This window comes from Homo sapiens, chromosome 17 (genome assembly GCF_000001405.40).
Source record: "Homo sapiens chromosome 17, GRCh38.p14 Primary Assembly".
NCBI lineage: Eukaryota > Metazoa > Chordata > Mammalia > Primates > Hominidae > Homo > Homo sapiens.
The window spans coordinates 30,299,216-30,309,501 of NC_000017.11; positions in this window are offsets into that span (position 1 = coordinate 30,299,216).

Sequence of the window (10,286 nt, forward strand, 5' to 3'; positions counted from 1 at the left end):
TGGAAAAATAGTATCTTTCCTTCAATAAATTCACATTTATTGCTATGAGAAAAACAGTCTTGGATTTTGCAAGTTTTAAATTTTATGTGAAGATTTCAGGAATGTATCCCTTTCATAAAATTCGGCTGCTCTAGAATTTGGTGTGGCAGTAGCATAGAGTAAATGGCAGGGGAAAAAATGTATATAGGAGATAAGAGATGAGGTTGAAAAAATGGTTTACAGTCAAATCATGAAGCCCTTTGAAAGGTATGCATCTTTTACTCATGGGGATATGACTCTACTCACAAAATTCTCCTATATCAGTAAAAAAAAAAAAATGAGAGAGAATCAACTTCAAATTATATTTCCCATAAAGGGAATAGGTTGACATTATATTTTCCCCAAATTTCTCTCTTTCATTCATTTATTTAACTGCTTGTTGAACACCTACTGATTGGCAGCAACTGTACTAGGCACTTGAAATACAAAAAATGAAGGAGACTAGTCCTTGACCTCAAGAAGCTTCAATCTAACAGGGAAAATGAACACAACAAAATTAATCATTATTTTTTGATTAATACAAAAAAATTCAGCTGGGTGTGGTGGCTCACACCTGTAATCCCAGCACTTTGGGAGGTCAAGGCAGGTGGATCACTTGAGGCCAGAAGTTCAAGACCAGCCTGACCAACATGGTGAAGCCCTGTCTCAAAAAAAAAGAAAAAAAATTCATAGAGCATTATTACATGTCAGGCACTGTATTAGATACAGAAATACACAGGAAAACCATATAGACAAGGTCTTTCCCTTCTGGTGCTTGCATTCTAGTGGGGGAGTTAGACAATAAACAAATATATGCAGATAATTTCAAATAGTGACATAAAGAAAATAAAACACAATGATGTGATAGTGACTGGCCAGGGGGAGTAGTGGCATTAAAGGCCTCTTTAAGGAGGTGACTATTTGTCCTGAAACTGAATGGCAATAAAGATCTGGCTTTGTGAGGACCTGTGGGAGAAAGCAAGGGCAAGGGCCTTATAGAAACAAGCAGCACTTAACAAGGTCATTGGGTTCATTTTGCCTGCTGCCCAGATAGAGCCAATTTATCACAACAGGGGAATTGCAATAGAAAAAGGGTTTAATACACGCAGAACCAGCTAATTAGGAGACCAGAGCTTTATTATTACTCAAATCAGCCTCCCTGAAAACACAGAGGCTAGGGTTTTTCAAAGACAGTTTGGCAGGCAAAGGAATGGGTTCAGCTGATTGGTTGGGGATACGATCATAGGGATGTGGAAACTCCAGTCCTTGTGTGTTGAGTCTACTTCTGGGTGGGGGCCACAGGACCAGTTGAGTCAAGAGTCATGGGTCTGGGTGAGGCTATCTGGTTGTCAGAAACGCGAAAGCCTGAAAAGACATCTCAAAAGGCCAATCTTAGGTTCTACAATAGTAGATGTTCTACAGTAGTGATGTTATCAGTAGGAGTAACTGAGGAAGATGCAAATCTTGTGACCTCTAATAATGGCTGGTCATTATTTGCACCTAGATCTTAGCAGAATCCATGCTGCTCTAATCCTCCTAACTTGATGATCTTTTATTAGTTTTACAAAGGCAGTTTAATTTGGGGAAAGGCTATTATGATTTAAACTATAAACTAAGTTTCTCCCAAAGTTAGCTTGGCCCAAGCCCAGGAATGAACAAGAACAGTTTGGAGGTTAAAGGCAATATGGGAGTTATTAGATCAGATCTTTTTCATTGTCATAATTTTCTCACTGTTATAATTTTTGCAAAGGCAGTTTCACTTCCTCTTTCAAGTCCAGTGGAAAAAAGTCTGGCTTTTTCTTACTCCCTCCTAAGAGTGAAGGCCAACTTTCCCAGAAGCTTTCAGCAAATCTCTCCCTGAATTTTGTAGTCCAAAAGGAGATCACATGCCTTTTCCTGAACCAATCATTGGTTAGGAGATGGGATTACCCTTACCTCAATGAAGCCTGTCCCTAGTACACTGGTCAGTTCCCCAAATTGTATTGTTTCTCCTCAGTGCTACGGAGATGGGATGGTTGTCGAGAGTTAATCACAGTGTTCACTGCATCATCACAAGAAGTTTAGGTTTTATTCAAAGTGTAATGAGAGTTTTAAGAAATGAGACATGATTTGATTTATGTTTCTAAGGGTAACTTTGAGGATAATTATAACACATTTAATTGGAAAATATAATATTAAATATATAAACATCAAACTAACAATAATATATATAAAGAACTCCAAAATATCAATAGGAAAAGACAAACAATCCAATAGAAAAGGAGACAAAAGACCTAAACAGACATTTTACAAAAAAGAAAGCATAAATGGCAAATAAACAATGATGATGGAAACACAAACTAAAAAGCAAATAAGATGCTTTCACTGGCAAGGGGTCCCGATCCAGGCCCAACGAGAGGGTTCTTGGACCTCGCACAAGAAAGAATTCAGGGCGAGTCCATAAACTGAAAGCAAGTTTATTAAGAAAGTAAAGAAAAAAAAGAATGGCTACTCCATAGGCAGAGCAGCAGTTTGGGCTGCTTGACTAATTATAGTTATTTCTTAATTATATGCTAAGCAAGGGATGGATTATTCATTAGTTTTTTGGGAAAGGGGTCGACGATTCTTGGAACTGAGGGTTCCTTCCCCTTTTAAAGTTAATTTTTTTTTTTTGAGACAGAGTCTTGCTCTGTTGCCCAGGCTAGAGTGCAGTGGCATGATCTCGGCTCACTGCAACCTCCGCCTCCTGGGTTCAAGCAATTCTCCTGCTTCAGCCTCCTGAGTAGCTGGGATTACAGGCACCCGCCACCATGCCCAGCTAATTTTTGTATTTTTTTTAGTAGAGACGGGGTTTCTACTAAACCCTGTCTGACCATGTTGGCCAGGCTGGTCTTGAACTCCTGACATTGTGATCCGCCTGCCTTGGCCTCCCAAAGTGCCGGGATTACAGGCATGAGCCACTGCGCTTGGCCCATATAGGGTAACTTCTTGACATTGCTGTGGCATTAGTAAACTGTCATGGTGCCAGTGGGAGTGTCTTTTAGTATGCTAATGTATTATAATTAATGCATAATGAGGAGTGAGGATGACCAGAGGTAGCTTTCATTGCCATCTTGATTTGGTGGGATTTGGCTGGCTTCTTTACTACATCCTTTTATCAGCAAAATCTTTGTGACCTGTACCTTGTGCCAGCGACCTACTGCATCCTGTGACTGAGTGCCTAACCTCCTGGGAATGCAGCCCAGTAGGTCTCAGCCTTATTTTACCCAGCCCCAATTCCGGATGGCGTCACTCTGGTTCAAACACCTCTGACTATTCCCAGTTTATACCTAGATAAGCAAAAATTTTGAAGGCAGGTATTAAAAAATATGTTGACAATTCTTTTGTACTGCTGATAGAAGTATAAATTAATATTACCACTTTAGAAAACATTTGTCAATATTTTGTAAAGTTGAAGACACACATACTCTATAATCTAGCAACGCTATTCTTGAGTATATTTTCTTGAGCTATTCTGTCCAATATAGTAGCCGCTAGATGCTTGTGGCTATTTAAATCTAAATTAATTAAAATAAAAAATTTAGTTTTTCAGTTATACTAGTTATATTCCACGTGCTTAATAGCCACACATGGCTGGAGGCTACCTCATTGGACGGAGAGCATATATATAGAACATTTTCATTATCACAGTAATTTCTCTTTCCCTAGAGAAGTTCTTGCGTACATGTACTATAAGTCATGGTCAAAACTGTTGGTTCTAGCTTTGCTGGTGATTGCATAAAAACTCAAGAAAAATCCACAGTTCATCAACAGAAATTTGTATGAATTGTGATATAAAAATCTACATGGATGAGTTTCAGAAGCAATGTTGAGTACAAAAATCATGTGGCAGAGCAATGTTGAGTACAAAAATCATGTGGCAGAGCAAATGGCATGAAATCTGTTTTCAAAATTTCAAAACCAAGCACAGTTAAATATTGTTTTTTTTCTTTTTTCTTTTTCTTTTTTTTTTTTTTGAGACCGAGTCTCATTCTGTTGCCAGGCTGGAGTGCAGTGGCTCGATTTCGGCTCACTGCAACCTCCGCCTCCCAGGTTCAAGCAATTCTCCTGCCTCAGCCTCCCGAGTAGCTGGGACTACAGGCACACACCACCATACCCAGCTAATTTTTGTATTTTTATTAGAGATGGGGTTTCACCATGTTGACCAGGATGGTCTTGATCTCTGGACCTCATGATCCACCTGCCTTGGCCTCCCAAAGTGCTGGGATAACAGGCGTGAGCCACTGTGCCTGGCCTAATGTATTGTTTAGAAATATATACATAGATGGTAAAAGATTTTTTTTAACAAGTGAATGTCAAACACCAAATTCAAGATAGTATTTACCTTTGGGGAGGAGACACTGAGCTTCAAAGGTATTTATAGTTTCCTATTTATTTTATTTTATTTTTTTTTTGAGACTGAGTCGCATTCTGTCACCCAGGCTGAAGTACAGTGGTGCGATCTTGGCTCACTGCAACCTCCACCTTCTTGCTTCAAGCGATTCTCTTGATTCAGCCTCCCAAGTAGCTGGGATTACAGGCACCTGCCACCATGCCTGGCTAATTTTGTATTTGTAGTAGAGATGGGGTTTCACCACGTTGGCCAGGCTGGCCTCGAACTACTGACCTCATGATCTGCCTGCCTCAGCCTCCCAAAGTGCTGGCATTACAGGCATGAGCCACAATGCCAGCCTAGTTTCCTATTTGTTAAGCTGATGTTGGGTACATGGGTGTTCATTCTACAGTATTTGTTATACCTAATTTTATACATTGTCTATGTATTTGTATATATGAAATATTTCTTCTTTAAAAGGTCATTGTGACTGCAGTGTAAATGATGGACTTAAAAAAGAAAGGAAGGCCGGGCACGGTGGCTTACGCCTGTAATCCCAGAACTTTGGGAGGCCGAGGAGGGCAGATCACCTGAGGAGTTCTAGACCAAACTGGCCAACACGGTCTACTGAAATACAAAAATTAGCTGGCGGTGGCAGGCACCTGTAATCCCAGCTACTCAGGAAGCCGAGGCAGGAGAATCGCTTGAACCTGAGAGGCAGAGGTTGCATAGAGCTGAGATCGCGCCACTGCACTCCAGCCTGAGTGACAGAGCAAGACTCCATCTCAAAAAAAAAAAAAAAGAAAGAAAAAGTAAAGAAAAATTAAAAAAGAAAGGAATATAAGCAGAAGACTTGTTAGGAGGCTATAATTTGTCCAGTCAAGAGGCGAATGGTGACCTGGATCAAGAAGGCAGTGGTAGGGCTGGGCTCAGTGGCTCACGCCTGTAATCCCAGCACTTTGGGAGGCCGAGGTGGGCGGATCACTTGAGGTCAGGGGTTCAAGACCAGCCAGGCCAACAGGGGGAAACCCCGTCTCTACTAAAAATACAAAAATTAAAAATTAGCTGGGCGTGGTGGCGAGCACCTGTAATCCCAACTATTCGGGAGGCTGAGGCAGGAGAATGGCCTGAACCTGGGAGGTGGAGGTTGCAGCAATCCGAGATGGCGCCATTGCACTCCAGTTTGGGTGACAGAGCAAGACTCCATCTCAAAAAAAAAAAAAAAAATTAGAAAAAAGAAGAAGGCAGTGGTAGAGATGAAAAGAAATAGATGAATATGGAACATATTTTGGAGGTGGATCACATTAACCCTAACCCTAACCCTTGTGCTGTGGTAGAGATTTGCATGGTGTGATGTGGAATGTGGAGGAGGAATATATAAGTCAAAGCTCCCTGGGATCTTTAGGGAAAGTTTCTTGGGAGAGATGACAGATCATCTGAGTTTTGCCCGGTTAGGAGTTTGCCAAGTGATAATAGCTGGGGAAAGGAATTCCAGTTAAAGGAAATATGCAAAAATCTTTTTTTTTTTTTTTTTTGAGACAGAGTCTCGCCTGGGCTGGAGTGTAGTGGCGTGATCTCAGCTCACAGCAACCTCAGCCTCCCAGGTTCAAGCTATTCTCCTGCCTCAGCCTCCCAAGTAGCTAGGATTATAGGAGCCCGCCACCATGTCCGGCCAATTTTTTGTATTTTTAGTAGAGATGGGGTTTCACTATGTTGGCCAGGCTGATCTCAAACTCCTGACCTTGTGATCCGCCCGCCTCAGCCTCCCAAAGTGCTGGGCTGCAAAAGTCTTTTTTTTTTTTTTCTTTTTGAGATAGAGTCTTGCTCTGTCGCCCAGGCTGGAGTGCAGTGGTGTGATCTCGGCTCACTGCAAGCTCTGCCTCCCGGGTTCATGCCATTCTCCTGCCTCAGTCTCCTGAGTAGCTGGGATTATAGGCGCCCGCCACCACACCCGGCTAATTTTTTTCGTATTTTTTAGTAGAAACGGGGTTTTACCACATTAGCCAGGATGGTCTTGATCTCCTGGCCTCGTGATCCACCCACCTCGGCCTCCCAAAGTGCTGGGATTACAGGCGTGAGCTACCGCGCCCAGCCCCACAAAAGTCTTAAAACAACAAAATCTCTGTTTGGAAACTGAGCACAGCTGAACTAAGGAGATAGAGGGCAGGGACCAAGCGTAGACAGCCACCAGTGCCCACAGAGGAGTTAAGACCTTATCCTGGAAGATGCAGGGAAACTGCCTCTATTTTTCTTTCCTCCTGCCAGGGAGAAAGGAAGATCCTTGTGAAGAACAACAAAATAAGGTGCTGATCCTCAGTGCTGTGAGGATCTACCTAGAAAGAAGTCCTGGTTGGGCTACCCTAAAAATGCTTTTTTGCATTACTCTTAAAAAGTGACTACCACAATCATCAAAAACTAAATTTTGTTGAAGTACAGAAAGATTGGAACAAAGATAAAAGGAAAATAAGGGCAAATGGAAGAGAAAGTGACAGAGGTGAAACAGAGGAAATTGAACTTGAGAGAAAATCACAATTAAATACCTTTGGAGACCTTAGATCCCAGTTTCCTTCTGGGAATGCTGTTAGACTGGCATTACTTAAAGCTGCAAAACCAAAGCTTTCTTTAATTCTTCCTTTGTTTATGAATCACATTCTTTACTATCTGAAGCAAATGTTTAAGTATAATAATTATGGTGTTATCTTCTTTTTTTTTTTTTAAGACAGGGTCTCGCTCTGTCGCCCAGGCTGGAGTGCAGTGCTATGATCTCGGGTCACTGCAACCTCCACATCCTGGGTTCAAGCGATTCCCCTGGCTTAGCCTCCCGAGTATGTGGGATTACAGGTACACACCACCACGCCTGGCTAATTTTTGTATTTGTAGTAGAGACGGGGTTTCACCATGTTGGCCAGGCTCGTCTCGACCTACTGACCTCAAGTGATCCGCCTGCCTCGGCCTCTCAAAGTGCTGGGATTACAGGCGTGAGCCACCGCACCTGGCCAGAGGCTTTTTTTAAAAAAATAAAACAAAGCATAAAAATCACAAAACAAAGTGAATATGCAGGAGTTGGTGGCTCAGTTCCACGTTTTCCAGTGCATATCCTTTGTAATGTTTTTTCATCCAATTTCCACTTTTTGTTCTCACTTGATTTTTCTTTCATTTAATTTTATTTCTTCCTTGTTCCAACAAGAGTGATTCATCAGATAAAAGTAAAACTGAACACATTCACAGTGCAAATTAAAATTAAAAACAAAAGATAAACATGCATCTTACCCTGAGAGAAAGAAAGAAAGAAAGAAAGAAAGAAAGAAAGAAAAAAAGAAAGAAAGAAGGAAAGAAAGAAAGATAATTGTTCCCTAAAAGTCCTCAATTAGAACTCTTAATTTCTTACATTAAGTAAGAAAGGCAGCATGCAGTTAGGAAAAAGAGGCCAAAGTTTGAAGTCTATTATATCTGGTTTTAATAGCTTTAGTATTTTAATAGCTTTAGTATTTAATAGTTTTAGTATTTGTAGGTATATGCATTCATTTAATCTCTGAGTCTGTTTCATCTTCTGAAAAATGGGGTGGATAATAATACTAGCTATATAGCTAAAATTTATTGAGTGCTTCCTGTGCCACAGGCATTGTTCTGCTTTCTATACAAGCTTTAGCCCATCTGATCTTCACAATAACCCTAAGTCAGGAGGTGGGTTCTATTACCATTCCCATTTTATAGATGAGGAAATGCAAGAACAGAAAGGCTAGGTGACTTGCACATAATAACTTGCACAGCTAATAAAGTGGTAGAGTCAAAATACAAACCCAAGTAGTCTGATTCCAGAGATTAAAACTTAAACTCTCAGCCGGGCATGGTGGCTCACACCTGGAATTCCAGCAGTTTGGGAGGCTGAGGCGGGTGGATCACTTGAGCCCAGGAGTTCAAGACCAGCCTGGGCAACATGGCAAAACCCCGTCTCTACAAAAAAACAAAAACAAAAACACAAAAATAAGCTGGGCACAATGGCATGTGTCTGTGGGCAGCTACTTGGAAGGCTGAGGCAGGAGGATCACCTGAGCCTGGGAGCTGAAGGCTGCAGTGAGCTGTGATCGCGCCACTGCACTCCAGACTGGGTGACAGAGCAAGACCCTGTCTCCAAAAAACAAACAAACAAAAACTTAAGCTCTCTAAGCCTAAGTATCAAAAGATATAATGTAAGTGAAAGCACTTTGAAACTCAAGCACTTTAGACATACCAGTCTATACAATAAACCTGCAGATTTATAAATGGCTGAGTGTTTTCCTATGTCATTTTTCTAATTGTCCCAAAGCAACCATTTGTGGATAGTTAATGGAACATAATCATGAAGTTTTTCTTAGGCACACAAATTTGCAGCTGTTAAGTTTTCACATTAGCCCATTTTAATTAATCTGTTATAGGTAGAAAATAATGAAGACCACTCAACATGACAAACAAGGAACCACTGATAGAAGACTTTGTTATATGACTAATAGCACTGTAGAATCATACAAGCATTATCCCTATATTTAGAGTGATCAAGAAATTGTGACTCTTAGGCTAGGCATGGTGACTTATGCCTGTAATCCTAGCATTTCGGGAGGCCAAGGCAGGCAGATCTCTTGAGGCCAGGAGTTGAAGACAGGCTGGGCAACATGTGAAAGCCCGTCTCTACTAAAAATACAAAAATATTAGCCAGGCATGGTGGCATGTGCCTGTAATCCCAGCTACTCAGGAGGCTGAGGGGTGAGAATCGCTTGAACCCGGAAGGTAGAGGTTGCAGTGAGCCAAGATCACACCACTGCACTCCAGCCTGGGCAACAGAGTGAGACTCTCAAAAAAAAATTGTGAATCTTTAGCAGAAATATGAACTTGTTAATACATCATTAAATATTGTCTTAAAAACGAGTATAACTCACATCTCAAATTGGAGCAAAGTCCTTTAGACTGGTGATTTCCAAGTGAGTCAAGTTTGTTATTAAACACTTTTATGAAGTACCATAGCTATAAAATCACTTCAGGAATTCAAGGCTATGATTCTTGAGTGGCAACAAAGTTTATATCCTCTTTGGTGGAATTGTTTAATGATGCTCTTGAGCTGCCCAGGAAGTAGTAAGGCCTCCTAAGAGTTGTTTCATTATTATTTTGGGAGTTTTGGGTTTTTTTTTTTTCTTTTTGAGACAGAGTCTTGCTCTGTCACCCAGGCTGGAGTGCAGTGGCACGATCTTGGCTCACTGGAACCTCTGCCTCCGGGGTTCAAGCGATTCCCCTGCCTCAGCCTCCTGAGTAGCTGGAAATATAGGCGTGCACCACTATGCTGACTAATTTTTTGTATTTTGTATTTTTTGTATTTTTTTGTATTTTGTAAGAACTTGGCTCACGCAATCTCAACCTGCCTGACTCAAGCGATCCTCCCACCTCAGCCTCCAGAGTAGATGGGACCACAGGCCCATGCCACCAGGACCAACTAATTTTTGTATTTTTTGTAGAGAGGAGGTTTAACTATGTTGCCCAGGCTGGTCTCGAACTCCTGGGCTCAAGCAATCAACCGGTCTCAGCCTCCCAAAGTGCTGGAATTAACAGACATGAGCTTCTGTGCCCCATCTATTGTTAAACTTTTTGAAAATATCAATCATATAATATGAGGCCTCACAGGATCTTACAGATTATCTTCTGGTCTAGTCCCTTAGTTTTGAACCTATAAAAGTTTACATCATTTGCTTGAGTTGAGCAGTTCATTAGTGGCTGAGTCAGGATGAGGGGCCAGGTTTTCAAAGCAACTGTTCATGGATCCAGTGGCTTCATGTATATCTGGTAGCTACAACTTTTCCATGAGCAATGTTGAATATATACAGCATAGTTGCGTGACAAACTACAGGAATCTAACTACTCCCTTCAGCACTGACCATGTTCAAAGATACAA